The sequence below is a fragment of the Homo sapiens genome, chromosome 5 (genome assembly GCF_000001405.40).
Source record: "Homo sapiens chromosome 5, GRCh38.p14 Primary Assembly".
NCBI classification, from domain to species: Eukaryota; Metazoa; Chordata; class Mammalia; order Primates; family Hominidae; genus Homo; species Homo sapiens.
In genome coordinates this window covers 138,419,796-138,438,818 of record NC_000005.10, presented here as the reverse complement: position 1 = coordinate 138,438,818, position 19,023 = coordinate 138,419,796, and the positions used below count along the sequence as shown (strand labels likewise).

The window sequence follows — 19,023 nt, the reverse complement described above, 5'->3', positions numbered from 1 at the left end:
GACCCCTGCCCACCTCCTGCCCTGCCCACACCAGGCGCTTACTGTGTGCCAGCCCCTGTGCTAAGAGCTTCACTGCGTTGCCAGTGAATCCTCTTGACCACCCTATAAGGCAGGCGCTATAAAAGCCCTCATTTTGAAGATAAGGGAATGAGAAGCTTAAGGCTCAATAATCTGTTGAGAGTCACAAAGCCACCAAGTCATGCTGCTAAGATGACCCCAGGAAGCCTACTTTAAACAGGTTACATCCCCCAACTGCTGACTAGCAAACTCTCCTCATTACAGGCCCTGAAGACATCCACCTGAGCTCCTGAGTCACAGGTACAGCCGCACCTGTCCACCCCACTCCTTCTCACCCCGTTGAAAGAGGATCTCCCCTGACCAGATGATGTTTTGTTTTTTTGAGACAGGTCCTCACTCTGTCGCTCAGGCTGGAGTGCAGTGGCACAATCTCAGCACACCTCCTGGGCTTGAATGATCCTCCCGCCTCAGCCTCCCGAGTAGCTGGGACTACAGGCCCAAAACACCACCAGCTAATTCCTGTTTTTTTGTTTTTTGTTTTTTTTTGCCAAGATGGGGTTTTGCAATATTGCCCAGGCTGATCTCCAACTCCTGAGCTCAAGCGATCCACCCGCCTCAGCCTCCCAAAGTGCTGGGATCACTGGTGTGAGCCACCGGGCTGCTGGTCTGCTTTTTTAGGTTGTCAGCTCCTAAGCTTTGCAGCGGAACAGAGCTTTATGCTCTCAATGTGGTTACTGACAACAAAGGGTCAACCTTCTTTTCAAACAGAGGGGCTGCGAGAGGGTCCTGGGGCTCCAGTTCCACCCCCATCAGCAAGCACTAGTGGCAGTGAATGTCCTGATTCTAAAGACATTTATATCCAGAATGTAGGCTAGCCTGCCTCCTGATCTTCAGGAAAGCAACCAACCTCCAACCATCCACCAACACCCCCAGCCCTATTGCTCTCCTTTCCTGTCCCATTTTAGAGCTTCTGCATTCCTCTACCCTTTATGTTGAGTTGTAATCCTTCGGGTGACCACAGCATCAACCTGTGCCCATCTGGGCTGAAAGGACACATTCAGAACTGTGTATTTCAAAGAGTCATGGTCTTATTCAAGCTCAGTATCCCTGAACAACACAATGGTCTATTTCTAACCTGGTAAATTATATTTCCAGGTTCAAACACTTTGGAAGATGTTTCCCAAAACGTTCCAGAAAAGCAGCCTCTGATAACCCCTCTTGCTATTCTTTACAACTTCCTCTCCAGAAAACATCTCCTAATTGGAATGCAGTCTGTTATCACCCCACAATGAAACACTTTAATTACTGCTTGATAAATCCCACATGAGTGTCTCCCACCATCTCTAAGGTGGATCTATGGCCACACGTTTCATGTAGGCAGCCAGGCTGCCTGCTTAAGAATCCCACCACAGACTGTCCAACTTTGCTGAGGCCACACACCATGACCCTTCCCCCCAGACTCTGCCACAGGAAGGGAGGACCCCAACTTTCCCACTCCATTCACAAAGCATAAAGTATGGGGAAACATGTCTCTCTTTCTACCCTCTAATTCATGTGGCCCCTTCCCCTTACCCCCAATTCCCCAAACCATACTGACCTCACCCTGGCACTTTCCTTTTTTCTAACATGGCACAGTCTCAACAAGCAAAGAAAAATATCTGGGTGTAGCACAGTCATGAAGACCTGGAAATGAATCCCCCACCTCCAACCCAACTCCCAATCTGATGTTGATTTTAGAAGGGTTGGTACACGAATAATTTAGTCCACTCCAAACAGATTTGTTAGATTTTTAATAAGAACATGGAAATCCCAATCAGCCCTTCAACAAAATTAAAATACAGAAAGTGAAATTAAAAGTATTCTACATTAAATGACTTTTATTTAAAAAAAAAAAAAAAAGTAACTGTGAACATATAAACAGCCTGCAGGGCACTACAGTACAGCTGGAGAGATATACATTTTCCAATGTACCTATGGGCCAATGAATCCCACCATTTTCAAATAAATCCTTAATCAGACTCCACTCAGTTGGAAAGTTTTGCTGAAAATATTTCTGGATAAAAAACAAAAAACCTCATGTTGGAAATCAACTGTCCTTCCCATTTGGAAACATTAAGAGGAGTCCCCAGGGAACACTGGTAATAGGTGAAAATGGTTCCTGGAGTCACCAGTGTTGTACACACACATGGGGAACACACCACAGCTTAGATGTGACAAAGTTCCTTCTCATATGACTGTTCCCTCAAGGTAAGACTAAGATGGGAGGGGGAGAAAAAGAATCCTAAAAAAGCCAATTTTTAAAAATTCTGCTTTGGCTGATTTTGTGCTATAATGGGTAGCTGATTTCTAAAAATCATATTTCTTCAAAGAGTTTTATATCGAAAGGAAGACTAAATGTAATGTGCCTTTCCTTATAATCCAGGAAAACAACTGTGGTATTTCAAAAATTCTAAAAATATCTACTTTCATGAAATAGTAACTATTTCACTACAAACCTATTTTTCACTAAATACACACATTTCCTAATCCTGGAGCCTCCTGGGAAAAGCAGTGGGTTCTCCCTGGGTCTTGCAAGACTCCAGTGTTCACAGGAGAGTGTGGGGAATAGCTTCACCCCGTCTCCTGGGATGGGCTTTGTCAGAGGTCACGTGCAGAGACGCTATCAGACTTCCACCAGGCATGTTTAAGCAATTACCCCATACTTGTACCAGTTATGTGATTTCCCCTATCTCCAAACACATTTCCACTTAACTAGGCACAAGAGGAAAAGAAAAGAAAGGTGTGCCCGTGAATCTCAAATCAGGAGAATGTGCAGGAAAGCCCCGCCATGTTCAGGCAATTTGGATTTCCAAAAGGCCACAGGATAGGGATGTGGCACTCTTGGCTTGGAGTCTCAAACTGTGTGTGTGAACAGTACGACTTTCCTGTGTCAACCTTCAGTGTTGAGGCAGCGTAGAAGAGAGTGGCTGGAGAGTTTGGAATACTGACCACACTGGCTCTGGGTGAAGGGCCTCTGCTCCAGCAAAGAGCCCTGCCGTTCCCTGTTAAGTGTTGTGAGTGAAAGACCTGCTTCACAGAGGAGCTTGGAGTTTCTCCATGCCTAGGACCTTGCCAGTTTGGATTCATGAGCCTTGAGGGTGCCAACCGCATCTTTCACTGCATGGTAAATGATGTTCTTCACCTAGAGAAGGTGTACAGCAAAGTCAGTTCACAGCAGCCCCATGCAAATGTACGTTCTACCTTGACTGTAAGCCTACTGGTTTAGTGGGGAAACTCCCAAAAAGGACTGTGCGTTCCTGTATCAATCCCCACAGTCATTTACAAATCACATAGGGCATGAGGTGTGTACTCAAAAAAGAATAATGAAGTTATGTGAAAGGCCATCTGATCACCATCATTTATGTGCTTACTATGTCCTGGGCAGGCGCTGCTGCTGAGCTCTTTATGTGGACCTTTGCTTAATCCTTGACAGAATCCTATGAGGTAGGTTCTATTATTATCATGCCCAATTTACAGAGGAGAAACTGCGGAAACTAAGGCCACAGTGAACACCTGGAGAACTTTGTTTCCTTATATGGTTAAGAGGCTTCCTTAAGGTTCTACAGCTAATAAGGATGCATTAAAACAAGAGGGGAAAGCAGGATTATGGCCTATTTTTTCCCTTCGTGCTTATATGTTTTCTGATTTGGATATATTACCTGTGAAATTGGAACACACAATAAAAGTTATTGAAAAAAGTGAACAGGCATATTAAGGTGAAGAGAATAAAGACAGCTTTCTTTTAAAGGGCTGACAAGAAAACTGAGGTTATTTCTGGGGAGGAAAAGCGGGGAAATGCAAAGGGGAAGGGTACATGGGGGCTTCAACCATGTAGTTGCTGTATATGTATGTGTGCTATAATTTCTTAAGCTGGGTCATGGGCATCCAAGTCCTTCTTTTACTATTCTCCATTAATTTTTTTGCATTGCTTCAACAAAGATTTATGAATACCTACTATGTGTCAGACATTGTGCTAAGGAAAAGCAGTGAGTAAAATGTAAAATTCCTGCCTTCACAGAGCTTAAATAGCTTACATTCTAGTAGGGTTAAGTAACAGATTAAAAAAATATATCTATATCTGTATCTATAGCTATATCTCAGATGGTGAAAATACTACAGGAAAAATAAAGTAGTGAAAGTGGGACTGGTAGTGCTGGAGCAGGAGTTGTTATTCTAAACAGGGTAGTCAGGAAAGGTCTTTTTTTTTTTTTTTTGAGATGGAGTCTAACACTGTTGCCCACGCTGGAGTGCAGTGGCGCCATCTCAGCTCACTGCAACCTCCGCCTCCTGGGTTCAAGCGATTCTCCAGCCTCAGCCTCCCAAGTAGCTGGGACTACAGGCGCCCACCACCATGCCTGGCTAATTTTTGTATTTTTAGTAGAGACGGGGTTTCGCCATATTGGCCAGGCTGGTCTCGAACTCCTGACCTTGTGATCTGCCCACCTCGGCCTCCCAAAGTGTTGGGATTACAGGCGTGAGCCACCGCGCCCAGCCTGTTGTTTTTAAATAAAGAGACAGAGTCTGTTGCCCAGGCTGGAGTGTAGTGGGGTGATCATAGGTCACGAGAGCTTCAAAACTCCTGGGCTCAAGTAATCCTCCCACCTCAGCCTCCTGAGTGGCTGGGACTGCAGAAACACACCCAACATCCCTAGCTCGGGAAAGGTGTTATGGATAAGGTGACATGTTACCTTTATATTCTCATTCTATGTAAACACCAATGTTGGACGGGCACGGTGACTCACGCCTGTAATCTCAGCATTTTGGGAAGCCGAGGCAGGTGGATCACCTGAGGTCGGGAGTTCAAGACCAGCCTGGCCAACATGGTGAAACCCTGTCTCTACTAAAAATACAAAAATTAGCTCGGTGTGATGACACGTGCCTGTAATCCCCAGATACTCGGGAGGCTGAGGCAGGAGAATCGCTTGAACCCAGGAGGCAGAGGCTGCAGTGAGGCAAGATCACGCCACTGCCCTCCAGCGTGGGCAACGGAGCGGGACTCCATCTCAATAAACAAACACCAACGTTGATTATACTTTGTATAAAAACTATGGTTGGCTGGGTGCAGTGGCTCACTCCTGTAATTCCAGCGCTTTGGGAGGTGGAGGCGGGCAGATCACCTGAGGTCGGGAGTTCGAGACCAGCCTTGCCAAAATGGTGAAACCACGTCTCTACCAAAAAATACAAAAATTATCTGGGTATGGTGGTGCATGCCTGCAATCCCAGCTACATGGGAGGCTGAGGCAGGAGAATCACTTAAACCCAGGAGACGAAGGATGCAGTTGAGCCAAGATCACACCATTGCACTTTCATTTGGGTGACAGAGTGAGACTGTCTCAAAAAAAAAAAAAAAAACAGCCGCAGTGGCTCACATCCGTAATCCCAGCACTTTGGGAGGCCGAGGGCGGGTGGATCATGAGGTCAGGAGTTCAAGACCTGCCTGGCCAAGATGGTGAAACCCCGTCTCTATTAAAAAACTACAAAAATTAGCCGGGCACAGTGGCAGGTGCCTGTAATCCCAGCTACTCGAGAGGCTGAGGCAGGAGAATTGCTTGAACCCAGATGGTGGAGGTTGCAGTGAGCCGAGATCATGCCACTGCACTCCAGCATGGGTGACAGACTGAGAATCTGTCTCAAAAAAAAAAAAAAAGAAAGGAAAAGTGCATCAGACTCAGAGTTGAAGGTGATTGAATCTACCAGCAATTAAGAAAAACCTCTTCAGGCTGGGCGCAGTGGCTCACGCCTGTAATCCCAGCACTTTGGGAGGTCGAGGCAGGCGGATCACGAGGTCAGGCGATCAAGACCATCCTGGCTAACACAGTGAAACCCCGTCTCTACTAAAAATACAAAAAAATAGCTGGACGTGGTGGTGGACATCTGTAGTCCCAGCTACTCGGGAGGCTGAGGCAAGAGAATGGCATGAACCCAGGAGGCGGAGCTTGCAGTGAGCCGAGATCACGCCACTGCACTCCAAAACCTCTTCAATCTGATCTATCAACAACCAAAAAAGATACACTTGAGCCACAGGCATGCCAGAAGAAAAGAGGCCACAGTGAAAGCCTAGAGAATTCTGCTTCCTTATTCTTTTTTTTCTTTGAGACGGTGTCTCGCTCTGTCGCCCAGGCTGGAGTGCAGTGACGTGATCTCAGCTCACTGCAACCTCTGCCTCCCAGGTTCAAGTGATTCTCCTGCCTCAGCCTCTCAAGTAGCTGGGACTACAGGTGTGTGCCACCACGCCCAGCTAATTTTTTGTATTTTTAGTAAAGATGGGGTATCAACATGTTAGCCAGGATGGTCTTGATCTCCTGACCTCATGATCCACCCGCCCAGCCCTCTTTGTTCTTTTTATGCAACTAAAGTACCTAAGTGTATTAATGATGAAATTCTGCCCTTAAAATTCCAATCCATTTCAAGAGCAGAGGAAACCTAATCTGATTGTTCAGCTCTGCTCTACAAGGGGATACAGTTCTTAGGGACATGAACTGTAATCCCTAGCAGAGCTCTAAGAAATTGAGTCTGCATAGAAATCTGCTATGAGAAGCAGCTTCAGCGCAATATTTCTTCTCAGAAACATGCTTAGAACACACTGCCATAGTGCTTTTTCCACCTGTTTGGGGAGGTCAGTCTAGTTAGTTACTAACACTTGTAATACTATAACTCTGAAACGGACAGAAATGAGGACTGTCACAACAGAAATGATTAGGTTAAGCAGTGGCTCACACCTGTATTCCCAGTACTTTGTGAAGCTGAGGTGAGAGGATCTCTTGAGCCCAGTAGTTTGAGAGCAGCCTGGGCAACATAGACCCCATTCTATTAAAAAGAAGAAAAACTGTTTTTTGTTTTTTTTTTTTTGAGATGGGAGTCTTGCTCTGTTGCCCAGGCTGGAGTGCAGTGGCATGATCTCAGCTCACTGCAACCTCCACCTCCCAGTTCAAGCAATTCTCCTGCCTCAGTTTCCTGAGTAGCTGGGACTACAGGCATGCGCCATCATGCCCTGCTAATTTTTGTAAAAAAGAAGAAAAACTTAAAAAAAAATTAAATGCTTCCTAAAAGGACTCCATATCCCCAAACTTCTTCCCTGCATCATTTCTCCTCCACAATTAGACCTTCGGAGAATACCCTCAGAAAGGAGAATGTGCTTTCTGCGTAATGTATGTGAGTATGCAATGAGAAGACAGAGTGGGGTAGAGGGAGGAGTTATTTACCTGCAGTTTATCCTCATGATTTGTATGAGTGTTAGAGAGATGCCTGAATTCCTGAGTCAGGCGGAAACAGTGCTTTACATGTTCTGGAGATACAAAGTCTTCTGCTACTTTTATGCAACTGTATAGATTGTGAACCTGAGAAGGGCAAAGTGCAGAGGAGAAATATCAGACATTAGAGATTCAATAACATATGGAAAATGTCCATGATATAGTTAAAAAAACCCTTGAGAAATAGGTATAATATTTCCATTTTTATAACAACACAGAAAAGCTGTAAGTGCAAATGTATAAATAAAAGCAATGGCCAGGTGCAGTGGCTCATGCCTGTAATCCCAGCACTTTGGGAGGCCGAGGCAGGTTGATCGCTTGAGCTCAGGAGTTCAAGACCAGCCTGGGCTTGATACGGTGATATGGCGAAACCCCGTCTCTACCAAAAAAACAAAAAAAAAGAAAAAGGAAAAAAGAAATACATAAAAATATCAGTATTTGCACAGAAAATGTTCTGGAAAAATATACACCAAACTGTTAACAGTAGGCTATCTCTGAGGAAAGAAACTAGATTGGGAAGGTAGGATAAGGGGATTGATAAGAAGAGTATGCTACAAGTAGCTGAGCTAGGACTTGTCACTTTTTCTTTAATAGCTTGCATTGTTTAAATTTTTTTTTTTTGAGACTGAGTTTCGCTCTTGTTGCCCAGGCTGGAGTGCAATGGTGCGATCTTGGCTCACTGCAACCTCCACCTCCCGGGTTCAAGCGATTCTCCTGCCTCAGCCTCCTGAGTAGCTGGGATTATAGGCATGTGCCACCATGCCTGCCTAATTTTGTATTTTTAGTAGAGATGGGGTTTCACCATGTTGGTCAGGCTGATCTTGAACTCCCAACCTCAGGTGATCCACCCGCCTCGGCCTCCCAAAGTGCTGGGATTACAGGCGTTGAGCTACCAGGACCGCCCTGTTTAAAATTTTTTAAATGAGCCTTAATGTTACAAGGAAGAAAATAAAAGCATAAAATAAGTTGCAGCATAAGAGAGATCAGTCCAATCCAGCTACTTAAATCTCTTGGTAGATTAGCAAGAAAAGCAGAAATAAGAAAGCCCATGGAACTGTTCAGCCCAACCCCCAAGCAGGAACCCACCTGGTGTGGGGCTCCAGCAGGTATGAAAACAGCATCACCTAGGAACTGCACAATAGCCCAGCCTTGCACGCCATACTCCTCATAGAGTCGCTTACGGAGGGTCTGGTCCAGGTACCAACTTTGGTCATGAATTGGGTCATGATCAGGGGGGTTCTCTTGGCCTTGTTCTTCTCCAACCTGAAGCCATAATCAAATCCAAAGATGGGAAAATTAAAAATCATTAACAGCATAAATCCAACTTGCTGCAGCAATGTCCTAAGATGGGGTGGGGATGGCAAAACTTTATTCTAGTCAACATCCTCTAGGTGTGGATTCAAGCCTTTGGGCTTTTCCACCAGAGGTATCATGGCCAACAAGTCTTTAATGCCAAGGGACTCTACATGAGAAACCCTAGATAGGGTGTCTCAGCAACGAGACTCTTGATATGTGAGCTGGGAGCACAGCCCACCCAGGGGCGTACCTTTCGGAGCAGCTCCCGGATCTTCTCTGCATCCTTGGCTGCATAGATGTGCCATAAAGCACCTGGCTTCTCTTTTCCATCATGAATCCTCTGCTTCGTCACCTCATCGGCATCTCCCTCGTCAATTGTCTTGAGTACCTCTGAAAAGAGCAAAATGACACTTTCAATGTAGTCAGCCATTTCAGTACCACTGAGTGAAATGAAATGTCCAATTTAAATAAATTGAGTTTTACTCTTCTCCATCTCTGGAATAATGTAAGGCAGAATCAGAAAATTGATACTGGTCTAAGCTCCCTACACACAGAACAACATTAAACCTTCCTTACTTATTAGAGATTCAGCATTTTTGGAGGTATAATTTCCCCTTAAAACATATTTTTTGCTTAAACTGTGTTGCCATATCTTATGTTTAACTTGCAGGTTATCTTCCGCTACAAGTATATGGAGTCTGTATATTTTCTCAAGACCCCTTCAAACACTAGGATTCTGGATTTAAGCCTACAAAGCATAAAGCATCACTACCAAGTGAAGAGGGTTGGCTTTTAATGCTTGTCTATTACAATGACCTACACCATAATGAATGCTGCAGGTGTGCAAAATCCAAGGCAAATGTAGGCTGGGCATGGTGGCTCATGTCTATAATCCCAGCACTTTGAGAGGCTGAGGTGGGCGGATCACCTGAGATTGGGAGTTCGAGCCCAGCCTGGCCAACATGGTGACACCCCATCTCTACTAAAAATACAAAAATTAGCCGAGTATGGTGGCACATGCCTGTAATCCCAGCTACTTGGGAGGCTGAGGCATGAGAATTGCTTGAACCCAGGAGGCGGAAGTTGCAGAAAAAATAAAAAAACAAAAAAAGAAAAGAAAAAAAGGCAAATGTAAAGTGAGGCACAGTGGCCTTGCCTGTAGGCCCAGTAACTTGGGAGGCTGAGGTGGGAGGAATGCCAGAGCCCAGGAGTCTGAAGCCAGTCTGGGCAACATAGTGAGACTCTATCTCAAAAAAAAAAAAAAAAAAAAAAAAAGAAATTATCCCTGAACCTTAAGATTTTGAGTTACTTATTTTCTTTTAAAAAAGTATCCCTTTTTCTGAAATTTCCATAATGAACATGTATTAATTTTAACACTGAGATGGCAGGAAGTATAAATACAGCAAAATATCACTTTTATGCTTCATTTTTATGAAGGTCCTGGCTTTATCATCTGTCACTCCACAGCTGATCTGGCTGATAGGTCAGGTCAGAACTCTGCCCTTTCTTCATTTCTCTTTGTGAGGCTACAAAGTGGAAAAGGGTAGCATTTCTAGAAAGAGACTCTAGTCAAAGATACGCAAAGTAGTACTCTTCTCTATTAGAACCTCCCCCTTTATCTAGCAACATCCACTGGGCACCCACTTCCCATCAGACCTGGAAGAAACAAGAAAAAGCCACCAGGGGAATAAGAAAAGAAAAAAGAAGCCGGGTGCAGTGGCTGACGCCTGTAATCCCAGCACTTTGGGAGGCTGAGGCAGACGGATCACCTGAGGTCAGGAGTTTGAGACCAGCCTGGCCAACATGGCGAAACCCGTCTCTACTAAAAATACAAAAATTAGCCGGGCGTGGTGGCAGGCACCTGTAATCCCAGCTACTTGGGAGGCTGAGGCAGGAGAATCGCTTGAACGTGGGAGGCAGCGGAGGTTGCGGTGAGCCAAGATCGCACCTCTGCACTCTAGCCTGGGGGACAGAGCGAGACTCTGCCTCCCCGCCCCCCAAAAAAAAAAACAGAAAAAAGAAAAAGAAAAAAAAAAGGAAAAGCCACTGGCCCTAAGGATGAAAACACAAAACTGTATTCCCAAGACAAAGCCTCACCATCCTAAAGCAGTGGATTCTAGAAAGCATACCTTCATCATGAGCACCCTCCCCGATGGGAATCCCAACATACACCATCACATTAACAGCATCAGACACATCTAAGTGAAGATTTGTTGTACCAACTCTTCTATCTTCTGCTGTTATCAACCCTAAAGGAGAAAGGAAAATATGCAAGGTGAAGGGCCAATATTTGGAAGAATCCACGTCGACACTACATCTGAAAACATGCTCAAGGGTGTTGTTAAATGAGTAAAATTAGGAGAGTGAAGTCTATTTGTTTATGAAGAAATCACTTTCATCTCTTTTATACTGTTTTAAGACTGATTTCTCATTGACACTGGCCATGGAACAAATCTACCTCCAAAAAACAATCTCTCCATGAAAAACAAAACAGATATGGGCATTAGGGCGTATTCAGATAAAGCTGAGCTTTCACTGTGATTTAGGTCATCCCTGGCCTTAACAAAGCACTGGCTGGGTAGCATGGCACCCAGACCTCTTCATTATTATTCTGTCAAGTCTCTTATACTCGAGAATATGGCTCCTTGGGTAGAGTTCTTAACAGGAAACTTCCTCACTACTGGAGACATGTAAGCTTATGGTCTGGGCCCACATGGATGTTATGAAAACCAATATGACAAAAGCAAACATATTCAAGACCACCTTGGATACTATTCACTTCTCCAGCACTTGCCTGCAATCATCTCTATACCTGACATTGACCACAGATATCCTTCTATAGTTGAAATAAGAACAACAGTCCCCCAAAAGAGCAATTTTAGCCTCTCCCTCATACCATAGGCGTTGTACATCTTGGGGCCCAGATCAGGCCTTACAAAGTAGCTAGGTAGCCTAGAGGCCAGATTGAGCCTGCCATCTCGTTTGGTATATTCTGGCAGAGGAAGGTTCTCCATCAGATCTTCAAACCTATAAAAGTGCAGGAAAGATGACTTAGCTTGTTATAGGGGAAGAAAGCCAATAGACAAATTTCACTTTTCTGTGATTACTTTGTGATGGCTTCTGAAGATGACACCACTGCAGGTCACTAACCTGGTTGGCATCATGTCTCGAAAATCTTCCCCAGGAGGCCAGTCCTTGAGTTTGAGCACCATTGGCTGCCCATCTTCTGACCGTAGTCGTTCTGGAAGACAGAGAATACTCCCACAAACATCTGCTGGTTTGGCTGGTGTCCGATTTTCAACAGTAACTTTTGGGAGACTAATCTCTTTTTTTTCTTTTTTTTTTTTTTTTTTGAGACAGAGTCTTGCTCTGTCACCCGGGCTGCAGTGCAGTGGCATGATCTTGGCCTCCCGGGTTCAAGCGATTCTCCCTGAGTAGCTGGGATTACAGGCAACCACCACCACGCCTGGCTAATTTTTGTATTTTTAGTAGAGACGGGGTTTTGCCATGTTGGCCAGGCTGGTCTCAAACTCCTGACCTCAGATGATCTGCCTGCCTTGGCCTCCCAAAGTGCTGGGATTACAGGCGTAAGGCACTGCGCCCAGCCTAGGAGACTAATCTTTTTTTTTTTTTTTTTTTTTGAGATGGAGTCTCGCTCTGTTGCCCAGGCTGGAGTGCAGTGGCCCAATCTTGGCTCACTGCAAGCTCCGCCTCCCAGGTTCATGCCATTCTCCTGGCTCAGCCTGCCGAGTAGCTGGGACTATAGGTGTCTGCCACCATGCCCGGCTAATTTTTTTGTATTTTTAGTAGAGACAGGGTTTCACCATGTTAGCCAGGATGGTCTCGATCTCCTTACCTTGTGATCCACCCGCCTCGGCCTCCCAAAGTGCTGGGATTACAGGTGTGAGCCACCGTGCCTGGCCCTGGGAGATTAACCTTTTATTTCAGACTTGTAAACCCCCATAATGGACAAGGTGGGCTTTGTTTTCCTCACTTGCTACTTTAGTGTGTGTCTTATTTTTCCATCTTACGGGGATTCTATCCCCATTCCTCAGAGTGAAAGTGCTCTGCATAGCCCATGGAATCACATGATTAAGTCCAGGCATGCTCTGGGAGTCATGTGATTGCCATGTAAGCTACACAGTTGGCACCAGGGCAGAATGTTCCCCCACCAAGTGGGTATAATTTGGATTTATTTATTTATTTATTTTTGAGACAGTCTCACTCCATCACCGAGGCTGGAGAGCAGTGGTGCCATCTTGGCTCACTGCAACCTCTGCCTCCTGGGTTCAAGTGACTGTCCTGCCTCAGCCTCCTGAGTAGCTGGGATTATAGGCACACACCACCATACCCAGCTAATTTTTGTATTTTTAGTAGAGGTGGGGTTTCGCTAAGTTGGCCAGGCTGGTCTTGAACTCCTGACCCCAAGTGATCCACACATCAGCCTCCAAAAAGACTGAAATTACAGGAGCGAGCAACCACGCCCGGCTGTCTGTTTTTAATTTTTTATTCATTTATTTTTTCAAGTCCCATTATGCCCCAGAATATAATTTATTATTCAAGGGCAGAGCTGGGCGTATAGATGCTTATTTTCCAGTCTGCTATCACTGAACTAGATATGAAAGCTACTTACTGCATATGATCTCGAAACCATCCCAGAAATCCCGAACTTTCACATCGGAAATTATAGCACAGTTCCTGCAGTTCACCAAGTCTACATCCTGGTCTCCAAATTCCTGGCTAAAGGCTTCTGGCTTCCAGAGCTCAGACTTGAGCTTTTTATGTACCCCCGAAACCAGCACTGGCTGTGGAAACAAAAATATCCCAATCAGAGCAATCTAGGAAAAACTTCCAGCTCTAGGGCTGAGACAGAATAGGAGGGTTTCCTGAGGAGGGCCTCCTCTTCTCCAGGAAGCTCTACTGTTCTTTCCTAGTTGTATAATCCATGGATTTCCACATGTCAACTAAAGTGAAAGGAAATGCTTCTACTCCATTGTTATGCTTCATTCTCACCCTGGGGAAATCACTTCTGTTGCCCTAATACCTACCATTGTTTTAAGGTGAAAGGACAAAAATCTGACAAGTCCAACTTTGAGAACACTTCCTCATATTGAAAATGACAATGCCATGAGCTCCCCTTCCTCAAGCACCTGCTAAAGTTTTTAAACTAGGGAGTGTTATCACACTATCAAAAAACTTGTGTGGCCTTAAAACATTTGCCTAGAAAAGTACTACCTACCTCCAACCCCTTCTCTGCCCCATCTTAAAATCACACTTAAGGATTTTTCTCTAAAGATATCAATGCCAGATCACCACCTAACAGAAATTTCAACTGCCTTTTTAAGAACACAGAACTATACAGCTTAGAAACAAGAGGATGCAAAGTGTGTTTTTAGTAATCTCCTTGCTTTTATTTATTTATTATTTATTTATTTTTGAGGTGGAATCTTGCTCTGTAGCCCAGGCTGGAATGTAGTGGTATGATCTTGGCTCACCGCACCCTCTGCTTCCCGGGTAAAGTGATTCTCCTGCCTCACCCTCTCAAGCAGCTGGGATTACAGGCACCCACCACCATGCCCAGCTAATTTTTTTTGTATTTTTAGTAGAGACAGGATTTCACCATGTTGGCCAAACTCCTGACCTCAGATGATGCGCCTGCCTTGGCCTCCCAAAGTGCTGAGATTACAGGCGTGAGCTATAGTGCCTGGCCATCTCCTTGCTTTTAAAAATCCAAGACAACTCGAAGTAGCAAGGCTATTACAATAACCTCACTATGTCTAAATCTCCCTGGCAAAAAGAGAGACCTGGAATTGTCCAGGTATCTGTGGTAGGCAGGCAGAGAATTGGCCCTTGGAACGACTTATTCTTGCTTACCTGACCTTGCTTCCAACACTCCCGGAAGATCTTCCAATTGTTTTTGTTGCTGGGGTCATGGAGACACAGAAGCCTCCCATCACAAAGCCAGGAGTGAGAAGTATGGGGATCTAGCACATTTAACCCCATCACCATCTCCTTCACTTCCTTCTGGGTATCAGTCAAGTTGCAGGCCCGCTTTGAAGCATCTGAGGTTTTCTTATTTTCTACCACTGAGGCAATGATGTGGTCAAGAAAGTTGGGTAGGCTGGCCTTGCTCTTCACTCCCTGCCAGACACAAATCCACCAGGTAAGCTTGACTGAGGCACCATGAGAACGGCATTCAAAAAACTGTCTCACAATTGTATTCACAAGGAGTTCTGACCTGTCTGATTAAATTCTACAAAAATTATTAAAATGTCTTTTACAACTGGAAGGGGGATAATAAGTCAACATCTTAAATTCTTTTATCCTTCATATTTTACCTTAACATTTAGGAAAGAAAAGTATAGAAAGATCCCTTTTGCCTCGAGAGATCTGAGACCTAAGAAATACCTTTGGCATCAGCCATTCAGTATACAAAGCACACATGCATGTAGACTGTAGGGATCATCAAATGCTGTAACTGAGTGTAAAAAGGTCACTCAGTTTGAGGGTTCTAAATTTTTCCTAACCAGCATGCCCAAGGGATACAATACTTCAATTAAGTAACTGAAGTGACTTATCAAGGCAATGGTTTTCTACCAGGGAGTACCTCAATGAAGGGTGTAGCAGAGTGTCCAAGAGGAAGTACATTCTGAAAGCAGTCTCCTACTCTCCAATTTTTTCCTCACTACCATCCCACTGAGAATCACTCACCTGTTTCAGCTGATGGGAAAGCTCAGGCCCAGAGATGAAAGTGACATACCTAAGGTCACAGAACTGAAGGTAGGGAAGCTTTTATAAACTGGATAATCCTATGCTTACAGTATTACTAATCCCTATCTCTATAAAGTATGTATAATTATGTAACATCATGGGAGAATTAGAAAAAGAACTGGCAGTATGATGAACAAGTATACATAAAACGGTACCCAAAGTAATTGTTTTGTTTGCTTTTTAAAATTTACTTATCCAGGCTGGGCACGGTGGCTCATGCCTGTTAATCCCAGCACTTTGGGAGGCCAAGGCAGGTGGATTACCTGAGGTCAGGAGTTCGAGACCAGCCTGGCCAACATGGTGGCCAACCCTGTCTCTACTAAAAATACAAAAATTATCCCAGTGTGGTGGCACGTGCCTGTAGTCCCAGCTACTTGCTCGGGAGGCTAAGGCAGGAGATTTGCTTGAACCTGGGAAGTGGAGGCTGCAGTGAGCTGAGATCGTGCCACTGCACTCCAGCTTGGGCAACAGAGTGAGACTGTCTCAAAAAAAAAAGTTACTTATCCAAAAGAGAAACAAATAACCCAAATTGTATAGAGGGCTCAGTCACCCACAGTTCATCACGTTTCAGCCATTAGTCATAAAACCCAAGAAGAAATGTATTTATGTATTCGCTTGAAATGATTTGCAGGACATATAAACTAAAAATCAGAATAGCAAGGTGTAGAACATTTAGGGGAAAAACATACATATGATAATATCTCGAGAAACACTGGAGACTTCTAGAAAGGGAAACAGGTGGTTGGGAGGCAAGGGTGCAAAGGAAACTTTTCAGTCGAAACCTTTTTTATTTTATTTATTTTTTTGAGATGGATCTCCCTCTGTCACCCAGGCTGGAGTGCGGTGGTGCGATCTTGGCTCACTGCAACTTCTGCCTCCCAGGTTCAGGCGATTCTCCTGCCTCAACCTCCCGAGTAGCTGGGATTATAAGCATGTGCCATCATGCCTGGCTAATTTTTGTAGTTTTTTAGAAAGAGTCAGGATTTTGCTACGTTGGTCAGGTTAGTCTCGAACTCCTGACCTCAAGTGATCTGTCCGCCTCAGCCTCCCAAAGTGCTGGGATTACAGGTGTGAGCCACTGTGCCCAGCCTCTTTTCTATCTTTTAGATATTGTACCTTATGAATTCATTCATTCAATAAATGCTTACTAAACATGACTGGATCAAACACCATGGCACTAGGGATATATTATAGAACAGTCAAAAATGCCTTTAGGAGAGGCAAGAAACAGAAAATCAAACATGTAATAGGTCAGATGGTAATGAGTGCTGTGAAAAAAACAAAGCAGGGAAAATCGGTATGTGCAGAACTGACAGTGTGATGGAATTTTAAAAAGGGTGATGTATGAAGAAAGGGTTACTGAAGGTTTAGGTGAGGGAGCTGATGATGAAGCAAGTGAGGTAGTTACATGGGAAAGAAATTCTAGGTGGAGGAAATAACAAGTGCAAAGGCCCTGAAGAGGGAGCATGCCAGGCCATGTTCAAAGAACAGCAAGAAGGTGGGTGTGGCTGGAACGGAGTGAACAGAACAGAGAGTGGTAGTTGAAGACAGGGAGGTGAGAGCAAGATGAACAGATAGGGCTATGGCCTCATAGTCCAGGTGCGTGACTCTACTCATCTGTAAGCACTACAAGGACTCTGCTCATCTTACGAGAGAAAAAGGAAGCCCTTGAAGGATTTCAGGCAGAGGTTAAGATATGATCTGACTTATATTTTATTATTTTTCTCCTTTTCTTTTATTTTTCTTTATTTCTTAATAAAAAGCCTCCCATGGGATGACATATTTTAAAAGAACCTCTCTAGCTACTGTGTTGAAAATACACTGTAGACTGTAAAGGGCAGAAACAAGGGGACCTGTAAGGAATTTATTGCAAAAACTTAGGCAAGATGTTGGCTCAGAACAGAGGAAGCAACAGAGCTGATGAAAAATGAGTGGATTCTGAATATAGTTTGAAGATCAAATTTGAAAGGATTTGCTAACAAATTAGATATGAAAGGTAAGACAGGCGAGTCCCAAATGATTCTAAGATTTCTGGTGCAAGCAATCACAAGGGCAGAGATGCCACCAACCAGTAGGGGAAAACTAAGGAGAAGCAAGCTTATGGTCAGAAGATCAGGAGTTCAGGCTTAGGCGCATTAAAGGTTTGAGACATCTATTAGATATCCAAGAGAATACAATACAAATGTACTGTCCAGGTTAAAAAAAAATTAATGCCTGCTATTATCAAGAAAAACAAGCAATCAATGTATTAACTTTTCTGCTGATGACCGAAACATTTCAAAATCTCAACTTTTACAGACTTCCTAACATGGTACAAAAGGTTCACTACTTAAAAAGATTCCCAAAACTTTAAAGAGAGACCTTGTCAGCTTGACAATGTAGAGAACACAAATCACCCATGTACCCTCTAACCCAATTATCTGATCTCTGATGGTTCTTTCATGGAAAAGCTGAAAAGGCTACAGTTGCAGAGGACACTTACTGCTGAGGATGTAGAGAAGACCGGGGGAAAGGGTATGCCTGTGTCCAAGGGGGTTTGAGGAAGTTTTCCCGGCCCGGAGTGAAGGAGGTCTCGAAGGCTAGACCCTTCGGTTTTGTTGTTGGAGGCAGTGGGACCCAGCAACAGACTGTTAAAAAGCTTTGGAGTCAGCGGAGAGACCTTTGCAGTGGAGTTGAACGAGTCCAGCCCAAAGGGTGAATGAGACTCTTTATTGAGCACCGACCTCAGGGACCCTGCTTCTGTAAGAACATAACCAGGAACAGCATTAGGTACAAAAAGGAATAATCAGCACACAACTGACTCCTAAAAATCAGTCACATGGGAAGGAGGAAAGATTCTCTCCTTTCCCTTGCACCCCCCAAACTGTGTATGGTTTGTTTGGGTCAAGCCTTACAAGCTATAATTATAGGAGGTCTCACAGCCAAGGAGAAACTCTCCTACTACTTCTTTACCAGATCTGAATTTCAAACTCCCTTTTGTTGTCATCCATCTTTCATCTCCCTCACTTCCTAAGACAGTGTTTCAAGTGTATCTTCAGGATACCTGTACTGAAGTCACTTGGAGTGCTTGTTAAAAATGGAGATCTTTACCCCCAGAGATTCTGATTTCATAGTTCTGGGCGGGACACAGGAATCTGCATTTTTAACCATTCCCCAGATGATTCTTGTGCCCAGTGAAAACTTCTGCTCTAAGTCTAGCTCTCAACCCTGGCTGCATAACAGAACCATCTCAGAAGCTTGTTAAAAGTCTTGTATATGGCTGGGAATGGTGGCTCACGCCTATAATCCCAGCACTTTGGGAGGCCGAGGCAGGTGTATCACTTGAGGTCGGGAGTTTGAGACCAGCCTGACCAACATGGAGAAACCTCGTCTCTATTAAAAATACAAAAAAATTAGCTGGGCGTGGTGGCACATGCCTGTAATCCCAGCTACTTGGGAGGCTGAGGCAGGAGAATCACTTGAACCTGGGAGACGGAGGTTGCAGTGAGCCAAGATCGCGCCACTGCACTCCAGCCGGAACTCCAGGCAACAAGAGCAAAACTCCGTCTCAAAACAAACAAACAAAAAAAACCCCTTGTATAAATTCTGACTAGAGATCCAGGGTAGGGCCCAGGCATCTGCCTTTTTAGAGAAGTTCCACTTCTAGAAA

General features: G+C 44.4%; 1 protein-coding gene across 6 annotated transcripts in view; it reads right to left on the bottom strand.

Annotated features, from left to right (window-relative positions):
• KDM3B (lysine demethylase 3B) overlaps positions 1,792-19,023 on the bottom strand; it is an 84,343-nt gene continuing 67,111 nt past the window's right edge. For all 6 annotated transcript variants that reach the window (XM_047417313.1, NM_016604.4, XM_005272018.5 and 3 more), the window contains 10 exons: positions 17,857-18,113; positions 14,478-14,744; positions 13,237-13,408; positions 11,754-11,844; positions 11,500-11,630; positions 10,733-10,852; positions 8,854-8,993; positions 8,394-8,570; positions 7,260-7,394; positions 1,792-3,199 (listed from right to left, as the gene is read on the bottom strand). In XM_047417313.1, the coding sequence (XP_047273269.1) occupies positions 3,119-3,199; positions 7,260-7,394; positions 8,394-8,570; positions 8,854-8,993; positions 10,733-10,852; positions 11,500-11,630; positions 11,754-11,844; positions 13,237-13,408; positions 14,478-14,744; positions 17,857-18,113 (1,571 nt within the window). In that variant the 3' untranslated portion in view covers positions 1,792-3,118. The remainder of the gene's footprint in view (positions 3,200-7,259; positions 7,395-8,393; positions 8,571-8,853; positions 8,994-10,732; positions 10,853-11,499; positions 11,631-11,753; positions 11,845-13,236; positions 13,409-14,477; positions 14,745-17,856; positions 18,114-19,023) is intronic.